This window comes from Homo sapiens, chromosome 3 (assembly GCF_000001405.40).
Source record: "Homo sapiens chromosome 3, GRCh38.p14 Primary Assembly".
Lineage (NCBI taxonomy): Eukaryota > Metazoa > Chordata > Mammalia > Primates > Hominidae > Homo > Homo sapiens.
This window is the reverse complement of record NC_000003.12, coordinates 159,243,034-159,268,542: the sequence shown is the minus strand read 5'-3', so window position 1 is coordinate 159,268,542 and position 25,509 is coordinate 159,243,034. Positions and strand designations below refer to the sequence as shown.

The following is a 25,509-nucleotide window of genomic DNA, read 5'->3' as shown; positions in this document are numbered from 1 at the left end:
ATTAAATTATTAAGTAGCACAAAGCTTACATTCGCTATAGTTTGTTTTTTGTTTTTGTTGTTGTTGTTGTTGTTTTTGAGACGGAGTCTTGCTCTGTCACCCAGGCTGGAGTGCAGTGGCACAATCTCGGCTCACTTGCAGGCTCTGCCTCCCGGGTTCAAGCAATTCTCCTGCCTCAGCCTCCCAGGTAGCTGGGATTACAGGCGCACACCATCATGCTCAGCTAATTTTTGTATTTTTAGTAGAGACAGGGTTTCACCATGTTGGTCAGGATGGTCTCGACCTCCTGACCTCAGGTGTTCTGCCCACTTCAGCCTCCCAAAGTGCTGGGATTACAGGCATGAGCCACCACACCCGGCCCATATTCTCTATAGTTTTAAATATCTCAAAATTGTATTAGAAGGGGTCCCAGAAATCCTCTTTCAGGGCTGAGTTTTCCCCCAACCAAGTGTGACTTTGTAACAAGACTTTCTCCCTAATTAGTCACCAGAGTTTTCTTGATGTATTTAAAGCCTGGAGGTTGTAAATCTGAAAAGGGCAATAAAGCTTGAGGATAATGAAGCAGTTTGAATGTTGGTGAATACGCCGCGTTCAACAGCAAGGGTAAGACTGACTTTTAGAAGTATATTTGGAAAGGTTTGGTGGGTCATCTGGCTAGCTGTTGAATATCCAGACACTCTTGCTAAATGCCGGGACACTTAAGCAGTGCTGTTAACCTAAGCATCCCACAGCCTTCACGCCAGAAGTAACACTCAGGTGTTACTTCACACCTGAGGTAACAGTCTTCAGCTGGTCCAAATCGGTGGTTTTGACCCTGCTCAGGACTATAATTCCTCTTGACTAGGAATGAAGTAAGGTCTGCTGGTAGAAGTTGGGCAGCTGCAGGAATGGCACTTAATTCTGCTTTCCCCAGTGTCCTAAGAATCTGCCTGTTCCTTATTCATCAGGTCTTGGAAGGAAGGAGAGCGATCTATGCTTGCTTTTACTCTGAGTGTGGGGGTGGTCTCTCAGAGAAGGTCTACCCATTTAGATGCAAAAGGACTCAGTTCATCTTCAGAACTGGAAAATCAATCTTTAGTAAGAGCAACACTAAAATAAATGCTTAATTTATTACCTTCGTAATGTACAGTTCCAATATATATATTCATATTCATTCTGGGGCATGAGTTGATTCTCATGGATTCACTTGGGGAATCACAAACAAGTACTGTGCCCCTCAATCAGTGTCAAGTTAAAAATTCCATCTCTGCTCTCCACAGTTTTTCCACAGCATTTTGAATAAACTCACTGAACGTTTTCAAGAGCAGATTCAAAATCAACTAATATTTAGTGAGAGCCTTCAGAGTCCCAGGTTCTGTGCTGTAGTTTACATGCGTAGTGCCGTTTAACCTTCACAGCAATCCCAATCCATTTCTGAGGTGGGTATTATTTCCAGTTTCAGATGAGGAATGTCCTCTCAAATGATATATCTTGGACACATAGAAATAGTGGCAGAGCTGCTATTGTAAGTCACATCCTCCTACCCAGGCAGCGCCTCATTCCATGAGCCACAGTGCCCCCTATAGGCCAGATCATAATAATATGGGAACCAATGGGAGAGAGAGGCGTGACCGCAAAGCAAGGCCCAAGCAGGAGGAAACAATTCTAAGCCAAAAGAGATTGAGAATGTCTCTAAATAATCCCAAAGATTTTTCCGGACTTATTTGTAAGGTCATGCTAATAATTTCTGAAAAGGTCATCAATCTTGGAGTTTAGAAAATACCATGCTATAGTTTCTTTCCATGATAATCCTATTAGACAAGCTACAGATCTCTGGGAGCTGGAAACGAAAAGCGTTAAATATTTTATGATATGAAATTGATTAATAAAAAATACACAGGGCATTTCCTACTGTTGTCCTTTGTGCAATAACTAATATTTTTTAAGGAGAGAAGATTACTCTTTTTAAAAATCATTTTGATATCCACAAGCTCCATTCCCTAACAGTTGCTATTCAAAATTCCTATTTCTAAAACAAATTTTTCTGTTACCACATGATACATTGCAGTGTAAGGGCACTTAATATGCAAATTGCTAACATAACTTAATATTATCTTCCCTTCTGTTGCTCTTTAATTTGGCATTGAACAGCTGAGGTTTGAGGTTTTAATCAAGGAGCATTGAATGAAGCAATTTATAAAATCAAATGAGGGTTTTAAAAATATTGTTTCATTCACTGTTTGTAACTACCAAATTGTAAAGCAGTCTTAGAAATGCATGAACTGATTGCTTGACCGTGTCTAAATGCAGCCTTCTTTTCAAGTAATATAGTGGAAGAATAAAATATGGAGCTCCAACCCAATGGGTGGCCCAAGAAAAGGTAGTTATCTCTTTAAGTCTCTTTTTCATCACCTGTAAAATGGAGATAATAATAGTGTCTTTCTTTGTATGATCATTGATAGGATTAAACAAGATAATAGCAGAGTGCCTGGCACATAACAAGTGCTCAGCTTTTATTAAGATAATGAATTTGAGCACTCATACTTAAACGTTACTTTTGTTATATATTTTAAGGCAGAAATGTTCAAAGAACCACATTAACCACTAGGCCTAGCCAAAACAATCAGAGCAGAAGCATGCAAAAGCATCATTATCAGCTCCACACAGGAACTCAACCAGATTAGTGAGCTGATTTCCTGTGTAGTGCATGCCTGGGGTAGATAGTTGAGATAGGCAATAATTGCAGTTATGGGCGTGGGGCTGCAGAGCAGCTGGCAATGTCCAGAAGTTAGGTAAGGGCTTGTTGGCCTCCATTAAGGTTGTGTTAGAGGTTAGTAGAAGGAAGGAAGGGACTTGGGACAAGACAGTCAGTTGATCAGATATGAGAAGATAGAAAATTGTCTAGGCAGTAACAGCAATAGATTAAACCCAGAGAAAGAGGGCTGAGGTTCAACAACCTGGAAAAGATCAAGCAAGAGGCAGGGCATAAAGAACTCCCCAGGGACACAGCTCACTGACAACATTTGACTTGGACTGAAGGCTTTTAACACAGAAGTTCCAAATGGACTCATGGTTGTTAGAGGAAGCTCATTTCTTGATGACAGGCTTAGTCAGTGTAGGCCAGGGATCATCCTATTCCCTCCATAAACTTGAGGTCCATTCACTGGAGGGTGAGAAAACCAAGTCTTTCTATCTGGGGCTCCTTGAGAGTATGTATGAACCCAGTGGGTCTGGCAAGCTGGTCAAGGTAGAGAAGAATCACCTTCCTTCCACCAGGCAACTTGTCCCCAGGTGACTGCAACCTCCAAGAGATGTAAGGATGAATCTTCCCAACAGGGGCCCTGGCAAACTGATGATCACAGCAGATAAAACAAGCTTAGCTCACTAAACTCCAAACAACTACATATAAAGTTTTCTTTTAAACTGTGACTTGGATATTTTACCTAAGTGACAAACCAGAGACTTGGAAGCATCCCAACATCTTATATTTTCATATTTTATTTTTTACATTTAATGTCACATCACTGTCATTATCAATATTTAAGTCATTGTTATAATCAATAACTTCTATTAGAATTCTGGGCAGGGCCTGCTTGCTTTCTGACAGCTAATTCTTTTTGAAAATCTGTTCTGATTCTAATTCTTTTTTTTTTGTTTTCCCCTCTGTCATCCAGGCTGGAGTGCAGTGGCGCAATCTCGGCTCACTGCAACCTCTGCCTCCTGGGTTTCAAGCCGTTCATTCTCCTGCCTCAGTCTTCCAAGTAGCTGGGATTACAGGTGCATGCCACCACACCCAGCTAATTTTTGTATTTTTGGTAGAGACAGGGTTTCGCTATGTTAGCTAGGCTGATCTCAAACTCCTGACCTCAAGCGATCTGCCCACCTCAGCCTCCCAAAGTGCTGGGATTACAGGCATTGATTCTCACTTTTTATAGGCAATCATGGGTGAGCCAGACTGCCATTCACTGAATACAGTCATCCTCAGCACATGAGCACAGAGCTAAAGGATGATGATATGGTGGGGCTACAGGATGCACCCCCAATTCAGTCTGATATACCTTATGGGAGAACAAATTTCTGGGAACATTTGAGGGAGGAAATATCTTCTACTAAAAACCAACAAGGAATCAGGAGGCTAAGCTAAATTAAATAAAGTAGAACTGTTAGTGAAGCTGTGCAGAGATATAAATGAAGTTGATGACTCATGAACAGGGAAGAACATGCATTTATGCACAAAACACTTATGCTAGAATCGAAGCAGTACAGCCGTACAAATATAAAACAAACATATATTCTCATAGGAGTCCAATAAAACCGAAAGGTTAAGCACCCTAAAGCAACACTAAAACTTTTAGATATCACTGGATTCAGCAGCAATTGAGAATTGTCGTGAATTGGGGCTGTGAGAAGGTACAAAAAAAGTAAATCCAAACATTTAACTCACAAAGTGATTTCTAATATTGAGTTTCCATCATTCAAATAAAATCCAAAAGTCATCTAATTTGCACTTTCTATTGGCATTTACAGCAAAGACATCTTAAACATTCAATTCTCACTTTAGTTTTTACCTCACAAATCATGAGTTAGACACAAACGAGAAGCCCTGGCATTTTCCAGTGTAGTTCACGAGTGCCCTCTAGTGATAGTGAGGTCAGTTAGGATAAGCCATTCCCCTAAATAATTGTTTTAAAAAGTGAAGATTCACTAAATGTTCAATTTCTGCTGTCAATTAAAAATGGATCTTCTGCCACTTTTATTTGCACTGCTATAAACTCAACTTATTCTCTCTCTTTAAATCCATATCTAGGCAAAACCATTTATTGAAGAATATGCAATGCAACCATCTGAAAACATTTCAAATACAGTAACTTTTACCTGATCCCAAAAAGAATACATTGCGTTGAGTGTTGGGAAACCTTTTTACCACAGAATAAACATGATAACCAAAAGTAAAAGAAAAATTTTTGGAAGTAATATACTTGTGTAATTACTTCATTTCTCTAACTTTTCAGCATTTCAGTGACTGGTTACAAATTATCACAATGCTTAAATCCACAAAATCCTGGTTCATAAATCCCTCATCACTGATTTCTTCCCACTTTTGGTGTTTTTTAAAAATAAAGACTTCCAGCAGATTCCCTTATTCCTTAACTCTCTATCTCAGATTTCTTAAACTGGTGGCCTGTAGGTCAATTGTGGTCTGTAGGCATGCTTACTTTACCTTTTAAATTTTCTTACTGGCTGCTAACACTTAAAAATGCAGATTTCTGACATGTCCTGAAGAAAGAAAATCACATTTGGCCATGCCTGCCTGTATCGCCACATGGTGTCACATTGTCAGGAGCCAAGTGCGCTGCCCTTCAGGTGAGGTCTATGTTCTCCGTGTAGCCAGGGGCACAGCTCAGCCACCTCAGTCATGAGGGTGACTTACCTGGCCCCTGGAGACATTTAAGTTGCAACCCCTGAGTGTGTGACCACTTTCAATTCTTCTGGTAAAAGTTCTCTTTCTACTCCTTATAACCAATCTTATCTTCTATCATATTAGCACCACACAATAAAAGAAACACACAGCACATACTAAAAGAAATATGCTATTATAAAGAAAAGCAAAAAAGATACCTCCATAATAGAGAAATGAGAACACATAAATGCAATCTATTTTCTCCAGACTTGATAAAGTTCACTTTGTGCTTATGAATTGTGTCTTTATTTTGAGGTGACAAAACTCTCACCATGGGTTCCTGGGTAGCAAATAAGCTACATAGATCTTCACTGTCACAAACCACCTGCTCACATCCCAAGATTTCTCTCTTAGAACCAAAGTCTAGGCTTTCAGTTGAATGTCAAGTCAGGACATAGAAAAAGAAACATGACACTCACGGGTGTGCTGCTGTCGGAGAAGGTGTTCATGCTGACAGAGCTGCTCAGCTTCTCTGAGGAGACAGAGGGTGGGGACGGGCTCCTCTTCCCCAGGGGCTCCTGCCGCTGCAGGTACTCTCGCCATGCTCGCTGAATGCTGAAAAAACAAAACAAAACAAAAAACAGCACACACATGATTACTGTTGGATCATGGTCCACAGACTCAGAAACTCACAAGGAGTCTGAAGGAATTGGCTTTGGTGCCAAGGGAAGTAGAACATACAGAATGTGATGTAGTGAATCAGGAGACCTGAACTTTAACTTCAATCCAGCCATGGAGACTGTCTCCCTACCTTACTGGTTTGACTTTCACAGACTTGACTGCACTCAACCGGCCTAAAAGAGTCAACTTAATAATAAAATTCATCAGTCAAAACAAACTAGTTTGCACAGGTAAATGTACTTTGATTTATGAGACAACAAATTCTTTCAATTTTTCATCTTATATTTTAGATGAGAATAATAAATAGGCTGACTACTACTGCATGCACTCAATGTGTGATTTTTGAGGGGCCATTCTGTGCCAGGGTCAGCTGTAGACTCTGAACAGGGACTCTGCCGTGCACAGCTCCAGAGCAGTCCTTTGCATGACTGCAAGGTGAAGGTGTCAGTGATGTGCAGCACAGTCTGCATGGCCAAATGCAGTGGCCCTGCTGTGGGGCACAAGGCAGGCGAGAGCACCACATCATGGGTTTTATATACTGTGGAAGGGAATAGGAAATGGACAAAGATTATAAATAAAGAAATGGACAAAGATTATTCAAGTGTTACGTACTACTCAGAGAATTAATGTAATGTCATTAGGCAGCTATTTCAGGTTTCGCCTAAGGAAGTTATTTTCTGTGATTAGTATCAGAAAAAATAAATTATCTTCTGCTCAGGATAACGGAAACCTCTTCTTAATATAAGCTAAGTGATTCCCCCATGGACTGTGTATTAGTCCGTTTTCATGCTGCTATGAAGAAATACCCGAGACTGGGTAATTTATTAAGAAAAGAGGTTTAATTGACTCACAGTTCTGCATGGCTGGGGAGGTCTCAGGAAACTTACAATCATGGCAGAAGGCACCTCTTCTGAGTAAAGGGGGAAGCCCCATGTAAAAGCACCAGACCTCCTGAGAACTCACTATCAACAGAACGGCATGGGGGAAATTGCCCCATGATTCAATTGTCTACATCTGGTCACACCCTTGACATGTGGGGATCATTACAATTCAAGGTGAGATTTGGGTAGGGACACAGAGCCAAATCATATCAGACTGGCTTGTGATCTTTGAGATTAACATCTCGATTTTCATAGGGGGGGTCACTGAACACAGTCTAACCTCTTCTGGGAGTTAACAGTTCATGCGGACTAGTTGTTAGGATTCAGCCTTTTAAAATAGTTTAAGATAGCTGTATTAATTCTATCACTATCTCTTCTAAACTCCTGGAAGCATCTGATCTCTGTAATTCTTTCACACACAACCTATGTCATTAAAGTTGTTTCTGAATCAACAAACTTATTTATTCTCATTTGGCTGGAATAGTTCAAAGATCATCAATTCTCAATGGTCACAGCATATAAATAACAAAAAAAATGTGACCACATTATTGAATCTGTATGTTTTCCCTAATTTATTAAAGGTCTGGGAATTACAATGCTCAAGGAAAAGTCCATCAACTGTAGTGAAAACAATACTTTTGGGTCAGTAGCCAATTCCCTGAAGCTAGGAAACTTAAGCTTTAGGGGTTCTTACTTAAAGGCCAGGAGCCTCTTCCAAGATCCTGATGAGGGGCTCTTCATGATTTGTATAGAATTGTAAAAATAAGATACTTTTAGAGTTTTTTTTTTAAAGGACTCTTCAGATTATACATACTTCAAGCCTCACTAAAGCAGAATCTGGCCCAAATTTGAATTATATTTGGTCACTGTTTTATTACGAAATCTTGCTCAAAGTGCATTTTTATTTCTGTTTTTCTTTGGCTTAAAGATTTTAAGCAGAATGGGAAAGGGAGTCCCATAAGATTGCCTGCCTGAGTTTGGTGGTCTTCTTGCTTCTTCAAGACCCGTTATATCAGAGAGGAGTGAACTTAAGGAAGCTGTCGGTGATGTTCACATCCTCTGAGTTGCTTGGGGTATCCCAGAGCCCAGCTAACAAATTCTGCTGCTTGAAGGTTCCTAAAGTCTCTAAACCTGCCCGTCAAGAGCTCAGAATGTGTAACATTTTAAAGGCTGTCTAAAAATTAGAAAATGTTGACAACCAATAGAACACCCACAACTTTATAGGACTTTGAGGTATTCTACACTGTCCTTTTTTCCCTTTAAATCGTCTTCATTATTCAGAACATACAAAAACAAAATATAGTGGCCATTTGAGATACTACATTTTAGCTTGTTGAACACCAGAGGGCGGTGTGACACCTCTAAAGAACCAAATAACATTGGGCAAAACTGAGATGAGAGGTTTGCAAAGGAATTTGCACTTAAACATCCTCTTCTCCCTCCTGGTTTTATGGAATTTGGAAATTGGCATACCAGTTCTCCTTAAGTCAGATATTAAGAAGACAACATTATTTTCTTCCTAGTTAATGGATATCCTTTTCTTTTCTAATTTATAAGGTGACAATATTAAGTACTTTTAAAATATGTATTTAAAACATCTGTGCACCCACTGACTTTCTTAATACAGGAGCTGTTTTTTTGTAATATTTATTTTATAGTCATCCACATATGTGAAAACAATTTATTACACGATCTTATTATTTTTAAAACATACTATGATATATATATTTCTCATTACTACTTGTCCTTCATAATTACAGTTTTGAGGACTAGATGATAAGCTGGACAAGTCTTTAAATTAGCATTTGGGGTCAAAAAATGACAGGGCCATCATGTCACACCAGGCTATTACCCAAAATTGCTACATTGTTTTTTAATGATGGAACTATGCTATGTTATTCTCTGTATCATAGAAAAGTGTTTACATGTTATTTACTCCCCTTGGCGATTCCTACAACATGACCTTCAAAGATTAAATTGTTCCAGTATTAAGCTGTCTTAATACCATCTCCAGATGTTATTTTACTGTAAGAGGGAACTAAAGTAAAATTTAGAAGCACCTCATCTCTCAATCATAAGGAATCACTTTCAGCCTTCTTCTCCTAGATTTACCATAATTCTTGTTCACAAGTCTCCTTTGTGGCTACAGAGTAAATTACCCACTACCTTGACATTTTTTTTTTGAAACTAGACAATGCTATTCATTATAATTATTTAAAGGCTTGTTGAAGTAAGAAAGCACATGTTGTGTGCTCCTATATTTTGAATTATAAATAAAGTGTAAGGGTTTACTTCTAAACAGATGACAAATACATTTTCAACAATTTTTCTTTTTGCTAGGTCAGTTCCTGTGTATCTTCTCTTATAGCAGGGGTGGCACAATCTGCCTGCCTCTGCCCTTTTTCTGTATATCCCTGTGTGTTTTGCAGTGCGGTTGGCTCTGTCATGCACTCACAGCCACTTGGGGGACTCACAGCCAGTGCAGTCCGGGTTGCCAATGCATATGTTTATCTAGAAGAGGAGAGGAGAGGGTTCCCAGAGAGCTAGGGTGCTTAGAGAAGGCTTGAGGGAGTCCTAGTATTTTAATTAGTCCTGAAGCATGGATGGGATTGAGATTGATGGAGAGGAAGAAGATCTTTGGGCAAAGGCACAGAAGTGAAGACACCAGGCAGGAAGCAGGAGGATCCCAGAGAAGAGCAGTAAGTCTGAGGCTACAAAGATGGCAAGAGGCTCTCAGAAGCCACCTGGGGTCAGGCTGGGGGCAGACTGTGCAGTGGGGCACAGACTGGGCAGTGTGGGCAACCCTGCTTTGGTGCAGTTGATAATTGGTTTCAACTTTTCAAGAACAGCCAGAAATCTTGATTTTTTATGAGAAAGTACTATTTTTTATATGTTACCAAACAATTATAAAAAATTCAAAATACATTATAACTCAAGTAGGCTGAATTTAGGGATGGACAAAAGAGGACACCATCAGAGAGGATACATTGAATCTGAGTATCTTGGAAACAATAGCTGACATACATAGAGCTCTTTTTTGTGTTGATTCTCTCATTCAATCCTTACCACAAGTGAACTGTGAGGGAGGCACCATGATTATCACATGGGTAGATTTTGCGTGCCCAATATTAATTTCTCCTTTTCATTGGTTTTGCGGATCCACCAACTCTTTACCCACGAGCTTTGGATGAAACAGATCCTACCCTATCACTGTAGAGGGTGGTCCATTCCCCCGGGCTGACTAGCCAGAGGGCCGTGGTTGGTTCAGTTTGGAGATGCACACATGGTTCAAGCCAGGTCTATTAAAGGCTGCTCTGGGGATTGTACTGAGACTATGAGAAAAAGGCCCTCTTTTTCATCTAAAGTTTCAGCAAGTAGAGCTGAAACTACCTGCAAGCCTAGAGCTGGCAGTGGCCACTTTGTTGCAATGTTGTGAGAACCCACATGAGAATGAATCATGGAAAGAGCAGAGTTTATAGAAGAAGAAAGACAGATGCCTGATAACCTTGCCCAATCGCCCGGGTTTCAGTGTGCTTAAAGCACGTTAGACCATGGGTATTTCTGTTATGTGATTCAATATGATCTTTTTTACATCTATAAATTAGTTTGAGCTGAGTTTCTGATACTTACAACCAAACAGTCCTGGCCGGTCTCAGGAAACAAGATGGGAACTGATCATCATTCCCAAAACTCAGAGCAGATCCCTGCCTCCCCATTACGTTTGTTCCCTCCTTACGGTTCAGCAAAAGGCAGAAATAGAGAAACAGGATGGAGACAGTGGGTTTGGCTTGTCATATACTGACTGTGAGTGGAGAAGTAGAACCCCTACTTATTTCAGTCTGTTAGTTGATTTTTCTATATGCAGCTAGCTAAAAGCTATCCTAACAGATATATCATATTTGCATCATTTGTTATCTATCCCAACCCTGTATCCTGATACAAACTTGTTCAAATGTCAATACGGGGCCACTGCATGCAACAGGCAGGTTTCCCACAGAAACTGCCCTCTCTTTCCAGCCTGCTTCCCCTCCACTCCAGTATCCGCCCGGTTTGTAGCTCTCGACTTCACTGCCACACTGATGGATGATGCTTCCTACGCACCAGGGCCTATGCTCTCTTGGCTCTTTCCATAGGTCTCTTCTCAAATACCCATAACTTTGCAGACTGTCAAGAATGTCAATGTTCTCACACATGAGAATTTGGGCAATTTGGGTCCTGGATCTATAACACTCTTTTCTTTATGAGGACTGAGAAGGTGCTTCAGAAATAATGCACCCAGGGTTACTGAGTCTAAGAAAGAAAATAGTGGTCCTGCAATACTATTAAACATCCAAAAAGAAGAGTATCAGATTAGGCTAATCCAAATGCTTCTTTTCAAACAAGTCCTCTTCCCCCACTAGAATGTAAAATCCTTGAGGGCAGTGACCACTCCACAGTTCTGGGATATATGACAAGTAGGTGATTAACAAATGTAATTCTTCTAACATTGCATCCCAGAAATAGCTCAAAGAAGAAAAAGTTTTATCTCATGATAAAGTATGCTTAGAGTCATAGAGGTTCTTGCCTAGTTTACCTCTCATGAGCTGTAGCTTTAGACAAAATACTAAACACACTGGCCTCCCTCTTTCTTATCCATAAAATAGGAGTAAGAATAACTTCTTTGTAACCCCTGCAAGAAGTCAAGGATAATGTATGTAAATTACTTAGCCCAAACTTGACAAATAGAGCTCCTAGATAAACTATTATAATTACTTAAGGAAAGGACATATCAAACATTTTCAAATACTTTGAAGTCACCTGTGCAAATCATCTAAGGATCCCTCCTGGCAATATTTTATTAGCCCAAGTGGACATAAAAATATGTTTGAAAAAGGTATGTTTGCATGGAAAAAATACAGTAGACTAAATGTCTAGTCTTGAATTTTCTCATTGAAAGCTGACTACAATTTAATAAGACATGTTAGCATTCTCGTTTTACAGAGGAGTGCAACTGAGGCCCAGAGAGGCCACTGGTGTTCCCAAGGTCACACAGCAGGTAAAAAGCAGAGCTGGGATTTGAACCTAAGTTACTCAAAGTCTGTGCTCTCAACCACTCTTCTCTCATATCTTCTTTTAATTAAATTTTTGACTAAAGTAGAAATGTATTACTCTCAAATGCAATTTAATAAGGGTTTACTAAACATCTTTAAAGTTCTTTTGGGAATGCTATCTCTCTCTGTCTCTCTGTCTTTCTCTCTCTCTCTCTGCCCCTCTCTCTCCTTTATAGAACCTAAATGTTGTTTCATTACAAAATCAAATATAATAATAAAAATCAGGAGAGGGATTGAGCATATTTATTGAGCTGACTTTCAAAAAAGCAATTTGTATTCAATACATCTCTATGTTGTTCCATCACAAAGTAAATACATTGTTAAAAATGTATGGAAGGGGATTGGGGGATCGCACATAGCTAATGAACAACTTTTACATGAGGGTTTGTATTAGGAAGATCTGTTTTAGATCTTGCTACAACATGAAAAGAGTGAATTACAAGGTGGAGGGCAGCAGCCTGTTGGGGCTGGGGGAGCCCACCTCTGCCTGTGCTGCGAGGCCTTCTCACTAAGCCTGCATTCCTTTGCTGTGCACCTTCATCCCCCAAAGCTTGTTCCAGCCTTAAGGCTCTTAGGAACACATTCATCTTTAGCCTTAGAGTTGCTCAGAGAGCCTTCCTTTTGGTGCTTTCACTATTACTTTTACTTTCACAAATTTTCTGATTTGAGAGGCTTGCCTTTGTTTAATCTTCAGAGAACTTGCCTTTTACCTCCCCCAAATGCCTTTTCATTAATAGCCATACGATCTTGATTGCTTTTGCCCTTTTGATGCACTCTTTTGATCCTCTGGTCTAATACTCAAAATTACCTCTTAACAGTTGCATTCATGAACCAGGTAATGGACCCTTTGTGACACTCCCTTCAACTTTGATACAGGCACCCTCCCCGACACTCACACATTTTTTCACTGAGCCACACTTTCTGACAGGCCTCTGCCTCCTGCCACTGATACTTTGCATTGCCACACGCAGGTTTACACTTTCTTATAAATTCTTTCCTTTTCACGATGTCCTGAGTACGAGGAACCATCTGAGACCCTTTCCTGCTATTCTGACCCCATCCTGGGATTCCCACAGGTAGACAGTGAAGGCAGTCCACACCTGAGAACAGGTCTCATCTTTCCTCTCTTTTACATTCAGAGATTGCCTTGCCACAGCACCTCCATCCCCCTCAGGGCTTGCAGACACTAGACTAGCCAGACACCCTGTATGGGAACTGTTTACTCTTTTCTCATCATGGAGGGGAAAGGAGAGCCTTCAGGAGAGGGGATTTTATGGTGGACTGACCCTCACTTCCCTCCACCCCCAGGAGAAGATAGACTCTCAGTTGGTCCCCACCAAAAGAAGTCAAAAGACCCTAAGAGAAAGCCTGTGATAATACAGGGTGACCGTGGTACCTGGGACAAGGGCACATTTTTTATACCCAATGCTCTTCAGGACTAAAAAAACTTATCTTGGAAAGCAGGAATGAGAATATCCCAAGATTGTCCCTGTTGAAGATGCCACGGTCAGCTGGAGGAAGGCACTGCTTGGTGCATCATGGGGCAAAGCCCCCGCAGAGCAAGGGGCACAAACCCATTGAGGATGTGCAGCCTATACTATTGGGGGGATTACAGGAGACCCAATGGCCCCTTCCCTCAGAGTCCCAAAACATAGGACAGTTGTTAAAGGAAACAACTGCTGAGAGTGAAAGTGTCCGCCATCTATTCATAGGAAACCTGGGGCAGTCTTGGTATTTAGTACATGGGGGTGGGAGAGGTAACACTGATAAAGGAAGGGAGAAGGAGGGAAGGGAGAAGGAAGGAGGAGAGAAGGGGAGATAGAAAGAGGAGAGGGAAAGGAAGGAAGCAGAATACTCAGCTGTAGAAAAGGTCTCATGTATGCAGAGAGGAGATTTTCAACCTGCCATGAGAGTTAAGAATTTAATAACCACATCAGACAAAAGTCACTGAACTAGACTAAACTCTCCAATGGGACTCAAGTTCTATTGTTGGGCAAGATTAAGTTTTCTCTCCTTCCTTTCTCTCCAGTGAGCAGAAATGGGATTCAGAATTATTAGAAGAGATAAAAACCATTCTGTTTGCACCTCATTGAGCTGAGACTCCTCCAACAAATCAACAAATATAAAATCTCAGGCTCTCTGAGCTGGCTGGAATCTGAAGCACAGAGATTTTTTTTCTCTGCCTAGTCCTTCTCCTGGTACCTACCCCACAGCCCCTACATATTGAAGGTGATGGGAACTGAAAAAGACCCAGGAGTTTTTCTAACTTAATTTCAGCATTCACATTAAACACTCTAATTTGTCATACACCAACTTTTCTTTCACCAGCACATTTTCATTTAACAGGACCTTATCTTAATGAGAAAATTCCTAATGATAAAGCAACCTATGTTTGCCAACTAATGTCCTGTGTAGTGAGGCTGACACACTGCTTACACAAAATGATTCGATAGCCTGATTCATTATGTATTTAGTAAGTGTGACACAGAACTTTGTAGCTGGGCACCCCACTGGTTCAGAAGTCTTGTTTGGACTTCATCTTGAGGGGTAGCCTTCTATGCTCATGCAGAGGCAAGCTTTTTACTGGTGACCAAGGTTAACATAGATTTACAGGGGTATGTATTGGTATTTGCTCTTATCCAGCAGGATATTATGTATTTGTGTGATTTCTGTTTTAGTTCCTAAGTCCAGCAACAACTTGGTGTTGTTCAACGTTGTACACACCTCAAGGTGCCCTTCTTTAGGGCGATTTCTTTTCTAAAAGATTCCTCCTTGCACGTTAAAAAACAGATCAGTGATTCTGGCCAAGCTCAGATATGTTAACATTCTCGTTTAAATTCTCATGCTTCTCGGAGTGTTATACTGAGTGTGTGAGTGTGTGTGTGTGTGTGTGTGTGTGTTTGTGAGGGAGAGGGTGGGGAGAGAGATTAAATATACACTCACTGGCATTTCTCATATATGCTTCTGAAGGAAAATCAGAACAGGAAAAGATCTCGGAAAACGGTCATAAATATTTTTGAAATTGCTTCCAAGGTAATTATAACAGGCCCCTTCTCTACTTAAAATGGTTTTAGAAGGTTAATATTTTGTTCTATAATAAAGTCTTTCTCAATTTGGATCTTGTTAGTTTCATTTTGTTAATATTGAGATGTTGTTAGCACTATTTTAAGGTAATAGTCATTTATAATGGGGGAGGAGGCTTACATTTGGGTATCTTAACAGACAATAAGAAGAAAAGGATAAGAAGTGAGAAAAAAAGAAGAGAAGAAACATTTTCCCAAAATAATTGAAAAGAAGCTGAAATAGAAAGAAGAGGATTTTTAAAAGGGTGTGTGTGTGTGTGATACATAGATGGCTTGAGGTGGAAATAACCAAATTGTTCAAAGATAGAATTAACCACCAAGTTACTAAGACGAAAGGCAAAGGAAAATGCTAGTGGAAGTTAAAGGATTGTACTAGACAAGAAATGGAAAAACCAAAAAGTGGTGAAAATAATGGCAAGCAAATAATTCCCTGTACTACCCAGTAGATGGTGCTGTGTACCCAAAGTAGCTGTGTTCCTGCTTAGAAGAGGGAGGAAATAATATGCAGCACATGAATGTAAAATAAAGATGCATAACTGTTGTGCCCGAAAATTCCAGATTTATTCAGGAATTCATAAAACTAGAACTAATTGCTTAATTTATACTTTGAAATAACTTACATTTTCACCTTTGATTCCAAGGGCTGTAGATTGAGGGGATACTTTTCAATATTATTCTCTGCATCCATGGCCAGCTGGTGACTAGAAACAGAAATAATGTCTCAATATCTCCCAATCCAGAAGGTTAACATCTATAGCAATAATACTGCTAATTTATACTTATGTGTAAAATAAGATGTAGATTCAATTTTGTTTATTTTAATTTATTAAAGTTCCTGTTGATGGATGATGGATGAGTAACCATATCATGAAAAAAAAAATGTGGCTTTGACTTTTATTTCTGTTGTCCTTTTGCTGTTCTCAACTAACATTCATAGCTATGGTATGAAAATCATTTCCTTTAAGAGAAAAGAAAAGGAGCATATTGGACAATTTCAGGGGGAGAAAAAACACAAGGATATGGTTATAAATTCCATGATACTGGCCAACTAGTAAGTTGTAGAGAAGACCTTACTCATCCCCAGTAGTACCACTGCCACTGGACCTTTCCTCCTTTCATTTGTAAGCCGTTTCAGGGCTTCCACTGGGAACAAAGCATGGATCTCTGACCTGTAGAAAGGCAGAGGGCTATAGAGAAATGATCACTGCTTTCAGTGAGCTTATAGCACTCTTAGTGCTACAACGATCAAGAAGGGCTTCATGGAGAAGGCAGCTCTTGGGATGAGTTTTGAAGGACGGATAGGAAGTAGGTAAGTTGAGAGTGAAGGGCAACATATGAGGAAGACAATAAAACAAATAGAGGTGAAAACATTCAAAGGATATTTTTAGAAAATAAAGAGAAATTTGGTCGAAGTGGATGAAAAAAATAGGAGAACAAAAGGAAATAGGCTTTGATAAGCAGAAAGCTAATAGTTACTGGTCTCATAATGTGTATAACACACTGTCATAGGCATTTTATGTGCATTATCTTATTTATCACAGTAACTTCCATTAACTAAGTCACTTTCCCCACTGTACAGCTGAAAAATCTGAAGCTTGGAGAGATAATGTTAAATTTACTGTACAGGAGGAACCCCATTAAAACTCACATCTCACTGCTCTCTCCACCAGAAGGCACTGGTTGGAGTATTTTAATATCAGGATTATTAAACTTAATCCCACTGACTGAAGTTTTCATAGGTAATATATTTAACATCCCAATTCAGTACTTGTGCATGTGGTAAGGTAGGGGTGTGTGTGTGTGTGTGCAATAAAAATTTCAAGAAACATTACTCCCCCAACTACATGTGATATACTTTGATTTTTGAATTATATTTGAAACTTTTTTTAAAAGGTCAGTGGTGACCCACCAAATTTATTTAACAAACCATCAATAGATTATGATCTACAGTGTGAAAAGCTTTTCACACTGTAGATCATAATCTATTGCAGCAGGGAGCTCCATGCATTTGGAGCAGGGAAATATGATAAATGGAGGGTTTAAGGATGATTTGTGGTGGGAGTGAGCAAGGAGAGTGACATAAAACTAGTTAGAAAGCTATTCAAATAGTCCAGGTTATGAGGACTAGGAATATGGTGGTAGTAAAGAAAAGGGAAAAAAAGAAAAAAATTGTGCTGGAGAGATCCCTTAGAATCACAAATGTATTTTTTTCTTTTTAGAAAGGAATGTCCTGGCGGTAGGGAAAACATAGGAGAGCACATAAATTCCTACATGACAAGTAGGTGGTGTCAGCACCCCAAGATAGCTTGGGGTTACTCAGCCTGATTGTTGAGGGGCAAGGAAGCACTCTTGTTTACTCTGTGCCATTGGTATTCAGGGTCCATTACTAATTAATTGTTAATCACTCATTCTACACATATATTTAATGTCTCTTGTGTGGCAGGAATGATGCAAAGCATGGAGGATAAAATGGTGAAAACACTAGACATGGTCCCTGTTCCTGTGGTCCCACAATCTAGGAGAACATGAACATTACACAAGTATTTGCAAGTGTGACAGATATTATTAAAGGAGAATCACGGAGGAACCTAATCCTGGGTAGGTGGGCATAGAAAGTGATATGATCTGGCTCTCTCCCCACCCAAATCTCACCTTGGATTGTAATAATCCCCACATGTCAAGGACGAGACCAGGTGGAGATAATCTAATAATTGAATAATGGGGGCAGTTTCCCCCACACTGTTCTCATGATAGTGAGTTCTCACAAGATCTGATGGTTTTATAAGGGGCTTCCCCCAATTGCTGGGCACTCATTCTCTCTCCTGCTGCCCTGTGAAGAGGTGCCTTCTGCCGAGATTGCAAGTTTCCTGAGGCGCCCCCAGCCATGTGGAAATGTGAGTTAATTAAATCTCTTTTCTTTATAAATTGCCCAGTCTCAGGTATTTCTTCATAGCAGTGTGAGAAAGGACTAACACAGAAAGTCTTATTTTTATAATTCTATATATTATATATACAGACTTATGACAAGGATACTTTAAGACTCTTGTTACTTATTAATTACAAATTAAGCAATAAAGTTATATATTGTAGGGCCTGTAGATATGCAACAAAGACAGACCTAATGTTTTCATAAAGAAAATAAAACTTTCATAATATTAACACGTTTGCTAATTTGGGGGTATTATTTATATATCCTCACCAAACTATAAACTACCAATACCTGTTGGTTTAAATCTGATAGCTTTAGTTCATTCCATCAATAATTGTCTGTGGGTAATAAAATGATTACTCCTCAGTACAATGTGTGACTTGCAATCACACATCTCTTACCAGAAACCCAGGCTGATTTAATATTTACAAAAATATGGCAGTCAGCCTAAGGTCTTACTTAAGTTAATAAGTGATTTTCCTAAACAACGGAGTCATAAGTAGCCTTCCAATTAATGGCCTTACCAATTGCTCTTCTCTGTTTATTGGCACATGCCAAGCTTCGCTAAGCTCGTGTGTGTGTGTGTGTGTGTGTGTACACAAATGCACTTGATTGGCTCTGCCAATGGTCTCAGATAGTATGGAGCTGCAGCTTCCCTCCCCTTCACACTAACTGTCTACCACAAAACCCTGTTGAGCATTCAGAATAAATGTAATGTTCCAAGGGGGAATAACCAATCAACTGTTCTGACACCACTATCACTTAACTTATGGTTATTTCAAGTAGCTGAGATGATTTACATCAGCACCTAAGTCAGCTGCAGCTATAACGAAATGCCTAATCTGCTCACTCAAAGTACACCAATTTTTCAATCAAATTTGACAGCATTCAAGGACGTAGTCCTGACCTGAAACAGACCAAAAAAATCTCCAGAATTCCAGGCAAATGGGTATAGTTGTTAGGGCTGGTGGTCACTGCTTGTTTTCTCTCTGTCCTGGACAAGCATGAAAGGAAAGGTTACCCCCATGGGCCCATGTGCTTTGAAGGAAGTATTTAATTCCCATTGCTGGAATTCCTCAATCGGGATTGAAAAAAAATAAGCACACAAAACAAACTGGTCATTTCCAGAAAGTTTTAGCTTTCTCAGTCCTCTGGATAATAAAGCAGAAAGAGTAGGGTGGGGCAGATGGAAACCCACGTATATACCATTAATTTTCAAATATCTTCCTGAGAGAAGACAGTTGAGAAAGATACATGCTGGTGTTAGTGAGAGGTTTAATATAGAATTGTGGTCAGTTAGCAGAACAAAAAAAACTTCATTTCCTACGTTAAGATCAATAATGGGTTGAGCGCAGTGGCTCACGTCTGTAATCCCAGCACTTTGGGAGGCCAAGGCGGGTGGATTACCTGAGGTCAGGAGTTCGAGACCAGCCTGGCTAACACGGTGAAACCCTGTCTCTACTAAAAATACAAAAATTAGCCGGTGTGGTGGCAGGCACCTATAATCCCAGCAACTAAGGAGGCTAAGGCAGGAGAGTTGCTTGAACCCAGGAGGTGGAGGTTGCAGTGAGCCAAGATCACACCACTGCATTCCAGCCTGGGTGACAGAGCAAGACCCCATCTCAAAAAAAAAAAAATCAATAATGAAAAACCAGCATGGCCAGGTTTAATAAATAAATGGGCCAAACATCATACAGAAAGTGTGTCCTTGGAGAATTAAGCTGCATGAGGAGATTATTGAATAAGTGAAATGAGCCTAAAATATATTTTCACTACTGGTTCTCAACCCCAACTCCGTGTTAGAGCTACATGAAGGAAGATGTTAAGAAATACTGATTCCAGGGCCTCATCCCCTGAGAATCTAATTCAATTTTTCTAGAGTGGAGCTTAAGCCAGGGCATTTTTATTAAGCTCCCCAGCTGATTCTAAGTGCAGCCAAGGTGAAAAATAACTGATCTAGACCTAATGTCATTACAACAGTAATCTCTATAAAAGAAAAGTCTTCATTCTACTGTCAGCAAAAAACTCTTTAGTTATTGTTTACATATAGCTATTGACGGTGGTGGTGGAGGGAAATTCTACTATTTTATTCTTATTTATTCATATTAACGAGAGCAGGCATAATAAAAATAAATGAACAGAAACTTCATTTGGTCAAAGGGCTGAAACTTCCTTTCAATCTGATGACATGCCAGATTCTTAGGATCGTGCAGATGGAATGAACCTTTGAGATTGTCTTGCCCAAACCCTTGCCCAGATGGAAAGGAAAGGAGCCAGCATTGAAGGTATCAGGCTATTATGGGCTGTCTCATTTAATGCTCTCAATAAGACTGTCAAGTCAAGACTACTATTCTCATTTTTAAAGATAAGTATAGTGGGGCTCAAGATGGTTAAAAATTTTGTCTGGACTGACAAAGCTAAGAAAGAGTAGAAAGAGGCATCAGACCCAAAGTTTTCAATTTTCCAGGATATTTTTTAACAACATTTCAGATGTATGGTCATTTACACTCTTCTTGGGCACTTCCAGTATCTTATCAGCTACTGGGGCTCAGCACATACTGTAAAGTATGGTGTTTGGCATGCTGAGTTCTTTGAACCGAAGGAGAAAAGGCCTCAGAAGCAAAGTCACTTTCTCTCTGACCTTCTCTTGCCCTTCTGTCCCTGTCCCTCTTTCTTCCATGATGCAAGCCATAAAAACCAGAATTCCTCTTCCACAAGGCAGGTCATAGAAACTAGAACCCTTCTCCCCCAAACAAGCTACAAAAACTAAAAATATTCCTCTAACCTTCCCCTGCTTTTCTGTGTAAAATCTGGTCATAAACAAATTCTCTGACCTACCTAGTCTGACGGAGAGTCCTAAGACCCTCATTCCAGAGGTTCTTGCCCCATGCCCAAGAGGAAGGAATGCTGCACAGAGAGGCCAAGAAGAATCTGAACTGACAGCCTTGCTGGGTTTTCCCATCTCATACAGTAGATCCTTCCTTTTTGTCCAATCACATTTCTACAGGGCTGTCCATTCTTCATCAAAACTAACTATTAAAGTGGAAAATTTCCCTGGTTTTCATTTCTGAAGGATCCCATGTCACATAGAACCCTGAGTAAATAGACCGGCGCGGTGGCTCACACCTGTAATCCCAACACTTTGGGAGGCTGAGTGGGTGGATCACTTGAGGTCAGGAGTTTGAGACCAGCCTGGCAACACGGTGAAGCCCTGACTCTACTAAAAATACAAAAATTAGCCGGGCGTGGTGGCACGTGCCTGTAATCCCAGCTTCTCAGGAGACTGAGGCAGAAGAATCACTTGAACCCGGGAGGCGGAGGTCGCAGTGAGCTGAGATAGTGCCACTGCACTCCAGCCTGGGCAACAGAGTGAGACTCCACCTCAAAAAAATAAAATACAACAAAATAAAGAACTCTGATTAAATAAGCTTGTTGTGCTTTTCTTTTGTTAACCTGTCTTTTGTTACAGGAGTGTTGGCTGTGCTCCTTATAATGAGTGAGGAAAGGTGTGATGCCTTTCTGCCCCTCCACGGCTCACTTCTTAACAAAGTTCATTCTGTTTGGGGGTAGGTTGAACTTTTACAAAAGTTTTTCCTTATCTGAGTCACAATGCTGTTTCTCCATATATCCTACTCATTGACTCTTGTTCTATTTTCTGGAGCACGAAGAGCAACTTAGCCTCTCTTTTATAGGAACATCCTTCAAATGTTTGAGGACAGCTATTACATTTCTTCTGAGACTTCTTTTCTCCAAGCTACACATCCTCAGCTCTTTGTAGTAGTTTCACATGGTTCCAGAACTCTCACAATTTTAATTGACCTCTTCTAATACTCTTGGCAATGTCAATGTGATTCTTAAACGTGGTGTCCAGAGCCAAGCATGACACCCAACCAGCTTGACTAGTCCTGAGTACATTAGGGCTCAGCCAGTGATTGAGAGCAAGGATTCTCGAGGCAACCAAACCCGGGTTTATTTCCCATTCTCACCACTCACTAGCTGAGTATACATGGAGTTGCTGAAACCTCGCTGAGCCTGTTTTTCCTCATCCGTGAAATGGAAATAATAATGCCTATATCAAAAGGCTATAATCAGAATTTGATGAGTCTCTGAGTGTTCAACAGTACAGGGTATATTATAAATATTTACTTTTATCTCTGTTCAATTTCATCTCTTCTTTTTTGCTTTATTTTAGCTCAGTTTTGTCCCATTCTGTAGTGTTAATTTGAATGTTCAGTCTGTTAGTCTTAGTGTTAGCTTTGCACTTTTTACAAATTTTATGCCTGCCTTCTACAAATGTCCCTGATTAAAAGACTAAGACAGGTCAGAGTTAAGTTTCAAGCCCTCAGACATACCACCAGAAACATCTTCCAGGCATCATATTACTCTGTTAAGCAGTAGAGCTTGTTTTTCATTGCTCAACTAGTCATACATTTATCTACCTATATCTCAAATGAGCCACATTTCTGGGCTCTGACCACAATGATAACATAAGAAACTGTCCAATTTACTTACTTATTTTTACCAGAAAGATTTTCTTTTTACTCAAGCTTTCCAACCTTGCAGATGATTTAACTTAATACTTTTTACTTACTTTTCAAATGAATATTTTCCATCATTAACTTGTTCTAGAGGATTCTGCAATCTTTTCAGTTCTTCCTGTGAAAAAGAGAAGATATATCTTACAAATTGTCACCAGCTACTTCCGAGCAATGCTATTCAAGCATAACTGTTAGCAAAATTGATACAACACAACATTAAGAGTTCTGGACTGCACTTTGGGAGGCCGAGGCGGGTGGATCACGAGGTCAGGAGATCGAGACCATCCTGGCTAACACGGTGAAACCCTGTCTCTACTAAAAATACAAAAAAATTAGCCAGGCATGGTAGCAGGTGCCTGTAGTCCCAGCTACTTGGGAGGCTGAGGCAGGAGAATGGCGTGAACCCAGGAGGCGGAGCTTGCAGTGAGCCAAGATTGCGCCACTGCACTCCAGCCTGGGCGACAGAGTGAGACTCCATCTCAAAAAAAAAAAAAAAAAAAAAGAATTCAGGACTTTGTGATGGTTAAGTGTTTAAACACACAAAAATACAACATGATCCTTGATCAAGTTAGAATATAATATTGTCACTCAAATTGTGTGACTTTTTTTTTACTCACTAATGTTTCCTATCAGTTTTTCAGAATTTGGATATGTTTACATAGATCCACCCACACTCTTTCCAAATTCACTTTCTCAACAGTATTGTCATTGCTGGTTGCTGGGTAAGAGACTCTAATGACTGCATGCTGCATTTGGCCATTCAGCAACCCTTCTCTCTTGTCTCTTAGTAACTCGTGGCAACCTCTTCTCCATAGCCCACGTGCTCAGACACACACATACACACACACACGATCCCTCAATTCCAGGCATTTGTAGTCTCTGTAATCTCATTTCTCTGGCCACAGAGGTGTGACAGGATGTGGCCCAGCTTCCTGGTGAGACTCCCTTCTTCAGTCTTATCAATCATGGCAGGATTTAAGGAAGACTCGCAGAACTCTGTTCCTGGGAAGACCACCATTCCCTGAGGCCACACTATCTACCATACCATTTACCACACCACTTACCCCCCACCAGAAATTGTCAAAGTGACCAGTCCCAAGGGGAAGGCGCAGTTAGAAATAATTATTCAATTACATCCAAAAGACCATCAGGACTAGCCTCTACATGATTATAACCCACCAGACACCCAAGTCTCCTAGATCACCTCTCCCATTATGCAATCTCTTAAACCCATACTGCATTCCAGAATGTGGCCTAATCACCCACTTCTCCCCAATCCTTCCAACCTTTCCAGTGGGTCCTTTACAGTCTGTCATCAGCAAAATCCTGTATCTCCCCAACTTCTTTGAATATACCCTTAATTATGTTGTTCTAACTAAACTATGCCTCACTATTCTGGGACAGCTAAGTTTTTGTTAGAGCAGGAAGAGCAAAGAATTGTTCAGAAAAGAGGTCTAGTATATAGAGGATTTTGCAGATGAAAAAGTTGGCTGAGTCCCTGAGCCCACCTTCTCCCCTGCAGTCCTCTTAAGAGATGGCCATTTCTTCCCCACGTGCTACATACTACATGGTGTGGAGGTTGAGTGGGACCCTCTTTGCTCCTCATTGCTGTTTTCAGATCTTCCCCACTCCTACAAAACCTCTGGAAACATGCCAGCTGCCAGTCCCAGCCATCTGTCCTCTTCTCTATCTATCCTAACTCTTCAGGGGATCTCAGCCAGTCTCACAGCTTCTATTTTACATTTGTATCTGATCTCTTCTCTAAACTTCACTCTTCTACTCGAATATGATATCCACCCTGCCTACTCGACAGTTCCATGTACATGTCTGACAAGCATGTCAAGCTCAAAACCAAAATGTTGATTTCTCTGCTCATACCCTCCTACCCAAGCCTCCTTCTTCACTGCTTCTTCCTCATTTTAGCAAATGGTATCACTATTCACCAAGCTATGAAGAGTTAAACCTAAGAACCAGACTTTACTCATTTCTTCCTCTTACCATTTATAGTCAATCAATGAGCTAATCTTATTGACCCCACTTTCAAAATATATTTGGAACTTGGCCACCTCTCAGTCTGGTCTAAGCCAACCATGGTAATCTTCTAATTATTGCCCTGCTTTCTAGGTTAGGCTACATCAGTCACTTCTCCATATAATAACCTGAGTGGTCTTGTAGTACCTGGGTTTTCTTTTTTAATTGGAGTATAATTTACAAAGTATGAAATGCACCTTATAAGTGTACAATACAGTGAGTTTTATCAAATGCTTCCATTGGTAGAGTCACAGCCGAAACAATATATAGAACATTTATCATTCCCAGGAAGTTCCTTTGTTCCCCTTTACAATCAATTTTCCTCTCCCAAAGGCACCCCTGTTCTGATTTCTATCTGTGTAGATTAGTTTTGCCTGTTCTAGACTTTCGTATAAATTTATCTATTCTTTTGTGTCCAGCTTAATTAACTCAACATTATATTTTGACATTTGTCCATGCTGTCTGTTGCATGTATCAATAGCTCATTTCTTTTTATTGCTGAGTAGTTTTCTATTGTACACATACACAACAATCCATTCTCCTGTTAATGGGCATTCTAATTGTGTTCATATCCATATGGCCTAGTATGAATAAAGCTGCTATGATCATTGCTGTGCAAATCTGTTTGCACAACAAGTCTGTTGTGCAAGTGTGTTTGTGGATGTGTTTTCATTTCTCTTCAGTAAATATCTAGGAGTGAAATTGCTACCTCATGAGGTAAATACATGTTTAACTTATAAAGAAACTTCCACAGTTTTCTAAAGTGGTTGTGCTATTTTATATTCCAACCAGCAATGTAAGAGAAGTCTAGCTGCTGTACATTCCCACCAATATTCAATGTCAGTCTTTTTCACTTTAGTTATTCTCCTGGATTTGTGATATCTTATTGTGATTTC

The 25,509-nt window shown here is 40.1% G+C and overlaps 2 protein-coding genes across 7 annotated transcripts in view; both read right to left on the bottom strand.

The window, feature by feature from the left end:
- IQCJ-SCHIP1 (IQCJ-SCHIP1 readthrough) overlaps positions 1-25,509 on the bottom strand; it is an 828,041-nt gene that overhangs the window by 628,817 nt on the left and 173,715 nt on the right. For 2 of the 4 annotated variants that reach the window (NM_001197113.2, NM_001414413.1), the window contains exons 2-4: positions 22,636-22,700; positions 15,736-15,816; positions 5,860-5,995 (exon numbers count right to left, since the gene is read on the bottom strand). In NM_001197113.2, coding sequence (NP_001184042.1) covers positions 5,860-5,995; positions 15,736-15,816; positions 22,636-22,700 — 282 coding nt within the window. The remainder of the gene's footprint in view (positions 1-5,859; positions 5,996-15,735; positions 15,817-22,635; positions 22,701-25,509) is intronic. The other 2 variants (NM_001197114.2, NM_001414414.1) reach the window with 1 other exon arrangement.
- The window catches only part of IQCJ (IQ motif containing J), a 196,989-nt gene continuing 173,715 nt past the window's right edge, over positions 2,236-25,509 (bottom strand). Inside the window, exons 2-5 of one of the 3 annotated variants that reach the window (NM_001042705.3) lie at positions 22,636-22,700; positions 15,736-15,816; positions 5,860-5,995; positions 2,236-3,328 (exon numbers count right to left, since the gene is read on the bottom strand). In NM_001042705.3, coding sequence (NP_001036170.1) covers positions 3,140-3,328; positions 5,860-5,995; positions 15,736-15,816; positions 22,636-22,700 — 471 coding nt within the window. In that variant the 3' untranslated portion in view covers positions 2,236-3,139. Of the gene's footprint in view, positions 3,329-4,795; positions 5,996-15,735; positions 15,817-22,635; positions 22,701-25,509 lie in introns of those variants that run through there. The other 2 variants (NM_001197100.2, NM_001042706.3) reach the window with 2 other exon arrangements.